General features: G+C 37.3%; 1 protein-coding gene across 6 annotated transcripts in view; it reads right to left on the bottom strand.

Annotated features, from left to right (window-relative positions):
- The window catches only part of SEC22A (SEC22 homolog A, vesicle trafficking protein), a 72,194-nt gene that overhangs the window by 3,856 nt on the left and 54,611 nt on the right, over positions 1 to 13,727 (bottom strand). For all 6 annotated transcript variants that reach the window (XM_011512675.4, XM_011512676.4, NM_012430.5 and 3 more), the window contains one exon: positions 10,692 to 10,757. In XM_011512675.4, coding sequence (XP_011510977.1) covers positions 10,692 to 10,757 — 66 coding nt within the window. The remainder of the gene's footprint in view (positions 1 to 10,691; positions 10,758 to 13,727) is intronic.

Below are 13,727 nucleotides of genomic sequence, written 5' to 3'. Positions count from 1 at the left end.
GATTTTCATCATATAAGACTGAAAAAATAGAAAAAAATAGCTTTTTCTTTCTAAACAATTTTAGAGTTAAAGATGCAAAAACAGTTTATTGTATACGCTTTGTTTACTGTATACTCTTCACCCTGTTCCCCGTTATCCTCTTATGTAATCATAGTATAATCATCAAACCAGGAAATGAACATTGATTCAATACTCTTAGCTAATCTACAGACTTTATTCAGATTTTGCCCATTGTCCCACTAGGGTCCTTTTTCTGGTCCAGAATCTAATCTGGGATTCTGTATTGCATTAATTGTCATGTATATTCCAATCTGTAACAGCTCCTCCATCTTTTTTTAAAAAAATTTTTGGCCAGGCATGGTGGCTCACACCTGTAATCCCAGCACTTTGGGAGGCCCAGGCAGGCGGATCACGAGGTCAGGAGATTGAGACCATCCTGGCTAACACAGTGAAACCCTGTCTCTACTAAAAATACAAAAAATTAGTCGGGTGTGGTGGCGGGCGCCTGTAGTCCCAGCTACTCGGGAAGCTGAGGCAGGAGAATGGCATGAACCTGGGAGGCGGAGGTTGCAGTGAGCCGAGATCACACCACTGCACTCCAGCCTGGGCAACAGAGCAAGACTCCATCTCAAAAAAAAAAAAAAAAAAAAAAAAATTCATGTCCTTGACAGTCTTGAAGAGTATTAATCAGTTATGTTGTAGGAATGTCCCTCAACTTGGGTGTGTCTGATGTTTTGTCAAGATTGAAATGAGGTTATACAATTTTGGCAAGAATATCAGAGGTGATACGCAATACATGTTATTACATATTAAATTAGATCACTTAATAAGGTGGTATCTATTCCCTTTGCAATTATTGTCTTGGGGGCAGGGAGTTGAGATTATGTGAATATCTTATCTCATCATACTTTTGCTCATTAATTTTAGTATCCATTAATGATTCTTGCCTGCAACAATGATTACTGTGGTGTTCGCTTAATGGTGATTTTATATTTCCATTTTTTATCTATATTTATTGCTTGGAATGCTACTGTAAAAATGAGCTAGCATTTCCAGTAATATATACACACACACACACACACACACACACACACACACACATATATTTAATTCAAGGTTTTCCAAGGCTTTTAAAATAATAGGTCTCTACCCCACATATTACTTATTAATTACAAAGAAGAAAAAGATATCTTTGCAATGGGGATCTGGTAGACACCATCTTAACCAAATGATCAAACTTATCACATTTCCTGACTGAAGCAATGAGAGATATTCAGCATATTATACTATACAGCACTGTTGCCAGAATATTTAACCTTAATATAATCACGAGTAACAGACTAATCCAGATTGTGGTACTTGCCTGAACTCTTAAAAAAGTCAATGTTAAGAAAGATAAAACCAAACTAAAATAGAACAACAACAAAAAGGCTGGGAGACTGTATCATAGATCAAAAGGTACACGACAATCAAATGAAATGCATAATCCTGGATCAGGAGAAATATAGCCACAGAAAACATTTTGGAGACAACAGAAATAATCTGAATAGGAATCATATATTAGATAATATTGTATCAATGTTAAATTCTTAGATGTGATATGAAGTCCTGGCTATGTAGACAGATGTCTGTATTCTTAGAAGATACATCATGAAGTATTTTAAGGTAAAAAATATCATGATGTCTGTAACTTACTTTAAAAACAACGGCTCAGGGACTTCTGTTTCTGGGAAGATGGAGTAGACACACTTTTCCCTATTTCTCCCACTAAGTACAAATAAAAACACTGGACATTATATGTAAAACAAGCATAAGAAGACTCTGAACTGTGGAGGAAAAGCAGACAAATAAAGAATCTTGAGATCCAAGAATGCCACAGTGGTAGGTTCTCTGAGTTTTCTTTTTTGCTTCATATATCCCAGACTTGGAGCTGAAGAAGCTGGCAACTAGAAATGCCAAGGCATGCATATCAAAACAAACAACAAAAAAGACCCTCAATAACATCTTGCTCTCTCTGGTAAAAGACCAGGAAAGAGGCACCTTAGCAAGACAGAAAACTTTTAAACAGTAACTATTATCCTCTAGCCAAACATCACACAAAAAACCCCTGTGACCCACCCATACCCACACCATCAAATGTTGAGAGCCTAGAACATTATAAGCAGATGTTTTAACCCTTCAGCATGGCTTCAGAAAAGGCAAGTAGAAGCCAGGACTTTCATTCCCACTAGATGGCAATGAATCCCTCCTCTACCCTCTTATTGTGATATCAGTGGAGAACACGTGGGACTCTGGACACCCACTTTCACTTGACAGTAACAAGATAATTCATTTCTCATCGGTAACAAGACAGTGGGATTCTCATCAGAAACCACAGAGGCCAGAAAAAAACTAGAACATTTCTCAAGTGCTGAAAGAAAAAAATACTGCCAAATCCAGAATTCTGTATTCAACAAAAATATCCTTTAGGAATAAAAGGAAAATAAAAACATTTATCAGATGAAAGATTAAGATAATTTGCTGCTAGCAGATCTACCATAAAAGAATGGTTAGAGGAAGCTCTCTAAATAGAAAGAAAACAATTAAAAAGAAGGAATCTTGAAACATTGGGAAAGAAAAAAGGACATGGTATGCAAAAATATGGGTAAATACAATAGGCTTTCCTTTTCCTCTTGAGTTTTCTAAATTATGTTTGATGGTTAAAAAAAAATCATTATAACACTGGCTGATGTGGTTCTAAATATATGTGGAGGAAATATCTGAGCCAATTATAAATAGGGGAGGGCAAAAACACATCTAGGGAGATAAGGTGTCTTGAACTAGTAAAATATTGACACGAGAAGACCATGAAGAGTTAAGTATGTATTACGTGATGCCTACAGCAATCATTTAAAAAGCTATACAAATAGATACACTAAAAAATACTACAGATAAACTGAAATGGAAATCTTTTAAAATGTTAAAGTAACCCACAGGAAGATAAAGAAAAAAAAGAAAAAAGAAAAAAAAAAGTCCTAACATATCCATAATTACATTAACTATAAATGACTTACGTACAGCAATGAAAAGACAGAGATTGGCAGGATATTAAAAAACATGAATCAACCCCATGCTGTCTGTCAGAAACTCACTTTAAATAACATAGGAAAGTTCAAAGTAAAGGATGGAAAAGGATTTATCACATAAACAGTAATCAAAAGAAAGCAAAAGTGGCTATATTGATACCAGATAAATATCAAAATATTTCAAAGCAAAGAAAATAACCAGGGACAGAGAGGAACATATATAATGATAAATGGGCTCACCCAACAAGAAGACACAGCAATCCTAAATGTGTATGAACCAAACAACATAGCTACAAAATATATGAAGCAATAGAACTGAAGTACAAAATGGAAAAATCTATAATCCAATACTCTTCTCTAGCCAACTGGTATAACACTAGACAGAAAATCAGCAAGAATACAGAACTTGACAATACCAAGCAACATGATCTAAACATTTACAGAACACACCCAATAACAGCAGAATACACATTCTGTTCAAGTGGCTATGGAACATATAACAAGACAGACCATATTTTGGGGCCATAAAAGAAACCTCAACAAATTTAAAAGAAGTGTAATCACACAATGTGTGTTCTCTAATCACAATGGAATCAAACTGGAAATCAGTAAGGGAAAGATAACAAGAAAATCTTCAAACATTTAGAAGTGAAACGATGCAATTCTAAATAATCCATAGGTCAAAGAGGAAGTCTTAAGGAAATTTTAAAAATTGAAATAAGAGAAAATGAAAATAAAACATATCAAAATTTATGGAATACAGCTAAAGAAGTGCTAAGACGGAAATCTTTAGGAGTTAGTGCATACATTATAAAAAAGAAAATTCTCAACCAATCATGTAAGCTCCTACTTCAAGAACCTAGAAAAAGAACAAAATAAATGCAAAGCAGGCATATGGAAGAAAATAGTAAAGATAAAAGCAGAAATCAATAAAATTGAAGCCATAAAAACAGTAGGAAAAAACAATAAAACAAAGATCTGGTTCTTGAAAAGATCAATAAAATTAACAAGTAAGACTGACAAAGAAAAAGAGAGAACATGCAAATTACCATTATCAGGAATGAAACAGGAGATACCACTACAGACCCTGCAGACATCAAAAGGCCAGTAAGAGAATACTACAACCAACTCTAAACACATAAATTTGGTAACTTAGATAACATGGACCATTTCCTCAAAAAACACAAACTACCATAAATTCACTCAACATGAAACATAATTTGAATAGTTCTATAAAACTACTAAGAAAATTTATGACTTATTATACGGCTACAGTAATCGAGACTATGTGGTAGTGGTGGAAGGATAGACAAAAAGAAATCAATGCAACAAAATACAGAACCCAGAAATAATCTCACACAAGTATGTCCAGCTGATTTTTTACAAAGGTGCAAAAGCAATTTAATGGAGGAAAAAAAATCGCCTTTGCCATGGATGGTGCTGGAGCAATATAGACAAAGGAACCTTGGTTGAAGCTATCTAAGTCTCACATCTCATACAAAAATTAACTCAAAATGGATCACAAACGTAAAATATAAAACTATAATAAAAGGTCTAGAAAAAACATAGTAGAGAAACTTAGGCTAGGCAAAGAGCTCTTAGACTTGACCACCACAAGCATGACCCATAAAAGGAAAAATTGATAAACTGAACTTTATCAAAATTAAAAACTTTTGTTCTGTGAAGAACCCTGTTAAGAGGATGAAAAGATAAGATACAGACTGATCTGAAACCATTAAAAAAAAAAACTGACTGGGAAAAAACCTGTTAAGAGGATGAAAAGACAAGATACAGACTGATCTGAAACCATTTTTTTTTAAAAAAAAACATAGACTGGGAAAGGATACCTGCACACTTCCTTTCTGACAAAGGATTAGTATCTAGAATATACAGTTGTCCCTCAGGATCCATAGGGGATTGGTTTCAGGACCTCCCTCAGATATCAAAATTTGTGGATGTTCAAGTCTCTGATATAAAATGGCACAATATTTGCATTTAACTTATGCACATCCTCTTGTATACTTTAATCTCTAGATTACTTATAATACCTAACACAATGTTAATGCTGTTATACTATATTCTTTACGGAATGAAAAGAAATAAAAGTCTGTACATGTTCAGTATGGATGCAATATGTTTCCAAATATTTTCAATCCATGGTTGGTTTAATCCATGGATGCAGAACCCACAAATATAAAGGGTCAATTGTATAAAAAACTCTTTAAGAAAAACAGTGAAAAAACAAAGAATCCAATTAGAAAATAAGCAAGGCCGGGCTCGGTGGCTCACGCTTATAATCCCAGAGCTTTGGGAGGCTGAGGTGGGTGGATCACCTGAGATCAGGAGTTCATGACCAGCCTGGTCAACATGGTGAAACCCCATCTCTACAAAAAAATACAAAAACAAACAAACAAACAAAATTAGCTAGGCATGATGGTGGGTACCTGTAATCCTAGCTACTCGGGTGGCTAAGGCGGAAGAATCACTTAAACCCGGGAGGTGGAGGTTGCAGTGAGCCGAGATCATGACACTGCACTTCAGCCTGGGTGACAGAGCAAGACTCGTCACAAATTAAAAAAAAAAAAAAAAATCAAAAGATGTAGACATTTCACTGAATATACACATGACAAATACATGAAACAATGTTTAGCATCATTAGCTAATGATGTTAAACAACGCAAGTTAAAACCACAATGAGCTATCACCACACACTTAAAAGAGTGGCTAAAATAAAAAATAGTGACAATATCAAATGCTGGTGAGGATGCAGAGAAACTAGATCATTCACACATTGCTGGAGGGAATGTAAAATGGTACAGCTACTCTGGAAAAGTTTTTCAGTTTCTTAATAAAACTACCACATGATCTGGCAATTGTACTCCTAGGCATTTATCCCAAAGAACTGAAGACTTATGTCTGCACAAAAACCTGCACATAATTGTTTATAGCAGCTTTATAACAGCCAACATTTTAAAACAACTCATATATCCTTCAATAAGTAAATGAAGCTGGATGTTGTGGCTCACACCTGTAACCCTAGAGCTTTGTGGGGGCTGAGGTGGGAGGATTGCTTAAGGCCAGGAGTCCAAGACCAGCCTGGGCAACAAACATAGCAAGACCCCGTCTCTACAAAAATAAATCAGAAAATTAGCTGGGTGTGGCAGCACACATCTATAGTCCTAGCTACTCAGGAGGTTTGAGCCCAGTTCAAAGCTGCGGTGAGGCTGTGATGGCATCACTGCACTCCAGCCTGGGTGACAGAGCAATACCTTGTCTTTAAAAAAAAAAAAGGAACAAATCATTTAATAGTACATTGAATACATATCATAGAATACTACTCAGCAATAAAAAGCAACAAATAATTGATTATGCAACAACTTGGCTGAATCTCCAGAGAATTATGCTGACTAAAAAAATGCCTATCTGGCTTATGCCTGTAATCCCAGCACTTTGGGAGGCTGAGGTGGGCGGATCACGAGGTCAGAAGTTGCCTGACCAACATGGTGAAACCCCATCTCTACTAAAAATACAAAAATTAGCCAGGCATGGTGGCGCACCTGTAATCCCAGCTACTCAGGAGGCTGAGGCAGGAGAATTGCTTGAACTGGGAAGTGGAGATTGCAGTGAGCCAAGATCGCGCCACTGCACTCCAGCCTGGGTGACAGAGCAAGACTCCGTCCCAAAAAAACAACAAAAAAATGCCTATCACAAAAGATTACTTCAAATGTTGAAGCCCTTAATCCCTAATGTGATGGTATTAGGAGCTGGGGCCTTTGGGAGGTAATTAGGTTTAGATAAAGTCATGAGGGCGGAGCCCCCATAATGGAATCAATGACTATGTAGGAGGAGGAAGAGATCTCAGCACTTTCTCTGTGTGAGGATATACTGAGAAGGCAGCCTTCTGCAAGCCAGGAAAAGGGCCCTCAGCAAGAACATGATGTGCCAGCATCTGGACTTCCAGATTCCAGAACTGTGAGAAAGAAATGTCTGTTGTTTAAGCCACCCAATCTATGGTATTTTCTTATAGCATTCTGAACTATGCCAGTTATATACTATATAATTCCATTTACATAATGTCCTTAAAATGAGAAAATTATAGAAATGGAGAATGCGTTAGTAATTGCCAGAGATTAAGGAGCGGTTAGATTAAGGAAGTGGATATGGCTATAAAAAGGCAACATGAGGGATCCCTGTGGTGACAGGAATGTTCTGTATCTTGACTGTATCAGTATCAATACTCTGGTTGTGATACCGTTTTATATAGTTTTGCAAGATGGTAACATTGGGGGAAACCAGTAAAGGGTACGTAAGATCTCTCTTGCAACTCCACGTAAATCTACAATTATCCCAAAATAAAAAGTTTAATTAGAAAAACTTTACCCATACACATATGTCTAAAACTTACTTTAAAAACAACTACAGAAGCTCCTTGGCTTACGATAGGGTCACATCCTGATATACTCATTATAAGTTGAAAATATCCTAAGTTAAAAATGTATTTAATACAATTAACTTACCAAACATCATAGCTTAGCCTAGCCTACCTTAAACATGCTCAGAACTTTGGCCTACAGCTGGGCAAAATCATCTAATACAAAGCCTATTTTATTCAAATATATTCATTATCTCATGTAATTTATTGAATAGTGTGCTGAAAACCAGAATGGTCATGTGAGTACCTGAAACATAGTTTCTACTGAGTGCATATCACTTTTGCATCATTAGAAAGTAAAAAAAGTTCCAAGTCGGGGATGGTGTGTTTATACACGCTATATGCACATACATAGAGAGTGAGATAAAGAAGGTGTTGCAAGATGTTAACAATTGATGACTCTAAGTATACTGGTTTTTCAACTTTTCTGTAAGTTTCAAGTTTTCAAAGTAAAACATTGAGGGAACAGGAAGTCTCTAGTTTCTTCACTGATCCTTTGCTTTCCTATTTGAAATGTTCCATATCAAGATTAATCCTATCAGGCTGAGCTCTGGGCTTCCATAAGCACCTGCATCCTGAAGAAAAAGATGACAAACCATGTGGTAATGGCTTTTCAGATCTGATCTAAAGAGGATTTAAAAATATCCTGACAACTGGAGACAGAGCATGTTATATGGTAAAACATAATTACTTAAGTTTTACTGTGGGGGAAAAAAACAGCATTATTATCACCCTGCTCATCATATTTAGAAAGCAGGCAGTTTCATGCCTTTCAATATGAAGGAAATTAGTTTTCTGCTTTTCTTTTTTAAAGCATGAATTTGTTTACTTCTCTCAAGTAAAAGAACACCTGAGTGACACCACTCTACCACGAAGCAACTCTCAGAACTACTCGAGGCTGTTCTGGGAAGTGTAACAGAGGTATGCCTATCTATAGCCTGGTAGTCACCTGCTCTGAAGTCACAAAGATCTGGGTTTAAGTCACTAACAAGCTATAAGAACTGTCTATACCTCAGTGAGGACGATATAATGGTATATCCTCCTTTTTGTGAGGATTTAATGGTACAATGACTATAAAAGGCTTAACACAAAATAAGAGCTCAATACATTCTGCCATTATTACTAAGCATTTACAATTACTTAAGACAAAGCAACCAAAACTTGTATTTTATAAGAATGATTATTCATAAAATTATATTAAATACCTCACAGTTTTAGATAAAAATCAAATGAGATCATGTGTATAGTTATAAAATTATAACTTTATTACATTATAAAAATTACACAAATTAGGAATTTTGCCTACAGACAGCATGATATAGTAGACAGAACACAATACTGAAAATCAGACACCCAGAGTTAAGTACTGACTCTACCACTTTCTGATTATGTGATCTCAGGACAGTACTGAAACTGTCTCCGTTTTCTCACTTTAAAAAATGAGATATTATCCCTTTTGTGACAGGATAGAAATTAAAATAGAAAATATATACAAGAATATTTCATAAAATTAAAGCACTATGTGACATTAACAAATATGTTTTCACATTTCCTGCATGAAGTGTCACTCATCACCATTAAATCTGTCAGATTTGACAGAAAATTTCTGAAGATAATATAAATGGTTAAGAAAATCAAGCAATTTTTTTGGTCAGGCGCGGTGGCTCACGCCTGTAATCCCAGCACTTTGGGAGGCCGAGGTGGGCGGATCACAAGGTCAGGAGATCAAGACCATCCTGGCTAACATGGTGAAACGTCATCTCTACTAAAAATACAAAAAATTAGCTAGGCATGGTGGCAGGAGCCTGTATTCCCAGCTACTCGGGAGGCTGAGGCAGGAGAATGCCGTGAACCTGGGAGGCGGAGCTTGCAGTGAGCCGAGATCGCACAACTGCACTCCAGCCTGGGCGACAGAGCGAGACTCCGTCAAAAAAAAAAAAAAAAGAAAAAGAAAATCAAGTGATTTTAAAAAATGAGGCCACTGGAACTAAAATGTCTAATGTCTTTACATAAAAGTCAAATACATATATTCAAAATACGTCCCTAAAGACGTCCACTGAACTTTAGGTAGTCTTATATTTGCAGTTCTGACTCTTAACATTTTTTCTAATTCAAGCTAGAAAAATGTGTCACTTACAAAAAAGTTAGGTCAAAAAGCCTTGCTTGCTGTAACACGTTTTAACAAAGACATTCTTGCATTTGGGTAACTGGTAACTTCCTTTCCTACAAATGTGTGCCTCCTCTGGCCTTGGAAATGTGACTATCAGTCTCCATGTCACCAAGGTGCAAAATCTCTTCCCTCCTTAAGTTTCACAGTCTTCAAGTCCCAGTGAGTCTTCCTTCTCAATGTCTATTTTTTTCTATCCTCACTGCCATTACCATATGTTGGCTTTCATTACCTTCTACCTGTAGTAATAATTCCAAACCAATTTCCTTGCTTCCAGTCTCTCTGCTCTTACAGTCCATTCTATTCATTACTGCTAAATTGAATCCTAAAATCCTGTTTTTACTGTGCTGTTCTCTATTCAAAAACTTCCCTCCAATACAAAATCCTCAGCCTAGAGTATAAGTAGAACCTGGAAGCTGAATAATCAACCACCAGAAAATCTAGTAGTTTTTTTTTTTTTTTTTTTTTTTTTTTTTTTTTTTTTTGAGATGTAGTCTCGCTCTGTTGCCCAGGCCGGAGTGCAGTGGCGCGATCTTGGCTCACTGCAACCTCTGCCTCCTGGGTTCAAGCAATTCTCCTGTCTCAGCCTCCCAAGTAGCTGGGACTACAGGCACACATCACCATGCCCGGCTAATTTTTGTATTTTTAGTACAGACAAGGTTTCACCGTGTTGGCCAGCTGGCCTTGAACTCCTGACCTCAAGTGATCTGCCCACCTCGGCCTCCTAAAGTGCTGGGATTACAGGCATGAGCCACCACACCCAGCCTAGAAGTAGTCTTTACTACCATAGGCAGATGACATACCACCACTGAAGCCTCAGCACAGGAAGAAGGTTAACATCAGGTTCACTGGGATGTATGTCTACTCAAAATGGAGACATAGGTCACAAAGTTAAAAGAGGCTCAAATTAAAAGAGAAGCAAAGAACTCAGAGTTTTAATAATTTATTTAAAATGCACAATTGTTAGAACTGATACCCGAAGTAAACAATAATGGTAAGTGTTTCTTTAAAATGGAAGAAAACCTACCTGGTAAAGGCAGGCTGCTGTTCCAAGGAAAAATGCAATGATGTAATTAAAATCATCACCATCACTCTGCAAAAGCAAAATAAAAGATTATTTTTGTTTCCGGTGGGAGCCCATTTCCAGAAACAATCCATCAAGATAGGATGTAACAATATTTACAAACAGTCAAAATTGTCACACACTGGTATATAGAAATTCTCAAGAGTCCTAAAATGAAAACATAAAGCACATTCTAAGACCTAAAGAGTGTGAGGTAGAGGTACAAGTGTTCCTCTTCATTTTGGCCACCCCCATCAATTTCATTCCACTCAAAAGAGGAAAACCACTGGGGAAAAGTTCTGACATAACGATAAAAGCCTCTCCTCCTACTGCTAAAAAAATCATGTAAAAATGTACAACACCCCAGTGGCTGACAAAGTTACTCCAGCTCACTAGGGTCATTACTTGATTCAAATACTGACAAACTTTACTGCTAGTAAGTATATCACTGAATTGTCCAATAAAGTAATTTGATATGATTTTTTTAAAAACTGTGAAAACTGAAAAGCTACTGTCCACTAGAGTGTGCTAAATCCCAACGTGAAAAATTAAGACTAATCAGTCTTGCATGCTATGCTAGAAAAACAGCCACCCAGAGGAAAAACAGAGATACCTCATGCATAGAATGTCTCTGAAAAGAAAACTAATGGAGACATGTAACAACCCATGCTTTCCTATGCCTTTTTGGTTCTTCTTAAATATCTACATTATCGACTTCTTTCAATGTTTTTATACAGTAAAAGATAAAGTTCGGGCAGGAGCATTACATTTTTTTTTCTTCCAGGCAGGAACATTAATTTGGCCCTTTTCTTATATTAGAGAGAAAAAAAAAACCTCTTTATACAATGATAATTTCCACAAGACACAGAAGAGTATCTCATTATCATTTCTTCATAAAATAGTATAAAGGAAAAATTCCTTTTGCACTGGTTATTGGGCAACTGATTGTAAGGCAGAGGAAAGCTGGCTTATCCTAGTGAGAAGATCTTAAAATAGGAACCACTCATCTGCCTGGGATGCTCAGGCCAGTTGCACCCCAGAGGCAAGGAAGGCCAACACCAAACCTTTCCAGTTTAATAATTCTAAAACCTTAAATAAGTTCTGCTTGATTATTTTTTCTTTAGTCCTTTACTTTTTAAATGACCTTTTTTTTTCTGATTATAAAAGTTCATGTTCATTGTAGAGAATCTGGAAAATACAGATTATACAAAGAAGAAATTAATATAACCTATAAATGCCACAACTCTGGGAAAATTACTGCCAACCCTTTCATGTATTTCCTTCCAGTCTTTTCTGTATATGTAGACACATTTTAAAAAATAGATTGATACTTTTATATACTACTTTTTAGTACTTCACAGTACTACACAAACACTTTCCCAAGACAGTAAATATTCCTCAACCACACGATTTGTAATGATTATATAACCTTTAATTGTGGGGATATACCATAATTTATTGTCCTACAATTGGATACTATAGTTTTCTCTAAATTTAGACTAACTCTCTTAATCACTCCTTCTTTTCTCTCTTTTCCTTCCTTCCTTTTTTTTTTTTTCAATGAGATGGAGTCTTGCTCTGTCACCCAGGCTGGAGTGCAGTGGCACAATCTTGGCTCACTGCAACCTCCACCTCCCAGGTTCAAGCGATTCTCCTGCCTCAGCCTTCAGAATAGTTGGGACTACAGGTGCGTGCCACCATGCCTGGCTACTTTTTTCTGTATTTTTAGTAGAGATGGGGTTTCACTGCGTTAGCCAGGATGGTCTCGATCTCCTGACCTTGTGATCTGCCCGCCTCGGCCTCCCAAAGTGCTGGGATTACAGGCGTGAGCCACTGCACCCGGCCTCTTTCTTTCGAGATTGAGTCTCGTTCTATCACCCAGCCTGGAATGCAGTGGCGCGATCTCGGCTCACTGCAACCTCTGCTTCCCAGGTTCAAGCGATTCTCCTGCCTCAGCCTCCCAAGTAGCTGGGATTACAGGCACCCATCACCATGCCTGGCCAATTTTTGTACTTTTTAGTAGAGAGTGGAGTTTCACCAGGTTGGCCAGGCTGATTTTGAACTCCTGACTTCAAGTGATCTGCCTGCCTCAGCCTCCGAAAGTGCTGGGATTACAGGCGTGAGCCACCGTGCCTGGCCTTAAATGCCTTTAAAACACTTAGGAGCATATTTCTAGAGTCAGTCAGACTTGGGTTCAAATATTTACTTATAATCTGGGACACTTATTTAATTTCCTCTTTTGAAAAATAAAAGTTGTAGAGATTAAGTGAAATAACATTTGCAAATACAAAGAAAAGTAACTGGTACATAGTAAGTACTCAGAAACATTCACTAACTCCTGTCTCCCTGGGGTTACTGTCTGTGTCACTTAAAAAATCTTTAATTGATACAGAGAAGACTGTCTACTAGCATATTATTCCATTTAATAAATATTTATCAAGCATTTACAAACCAGGTACTTTGTTACTATCCCTAGTACAGAAAAGAGTTAAGTCCAGCCAGGGCGGTGGCTCATGCCTGTAATCCCAGCACTTTGGGAGGCCGAGGTGGGCAGATCACGAGGTCAGGATATCGAGACCATCCTGGCTAACACAGTGAAACCATGTCTCTACTAAAAATACAAAAAATTAGCCGGGCGTGGTGGCGGGCACCTGTAGTCCCAGATACTCGGGAGGCTGAGGCAGGAGAATGGTGTGAACCTGGGAGGTGGAGCTTGCAGTGAGCCGAGACTGCGCCACTGCACTCCAGCCTGGGTGACAGAGCGAGAATCCACCTCAAAAAAAAAAAAAAAAAAAGGAAAGAAAAAGAAGAGTTAAGTCCACACCAACTTAAGGAGGTCACTCTAATTAAGGCAGATACGTAAGTCAATAATTACCACCCAAAGTGATAACTGATGGCACAGGTGTGTGTAGAGGATACTAAGGGAGCCCAATGGAGACACATCTAATTCTGCATAGAGAAAAAAGAAAGGCCAGGGAAGACTTCCTAGATGGAGTAAAG

Source organism: Homo sapiens, chromosome 3 (assembly GCF_000001405.40).
Source record: "Homo sapiens chromosome 3, GRCh38.p14 Primary Assembly".
In the NCBI taxonomy this organism is placed as follows: Eukaryota; Metazoa; Chordata; class Mammalia; order Primates; family Hominidae; genus Homo; species Homo sapiens.
This window is presented reverse-complemented; position numbering and strand designations above follow the sequence as displayed.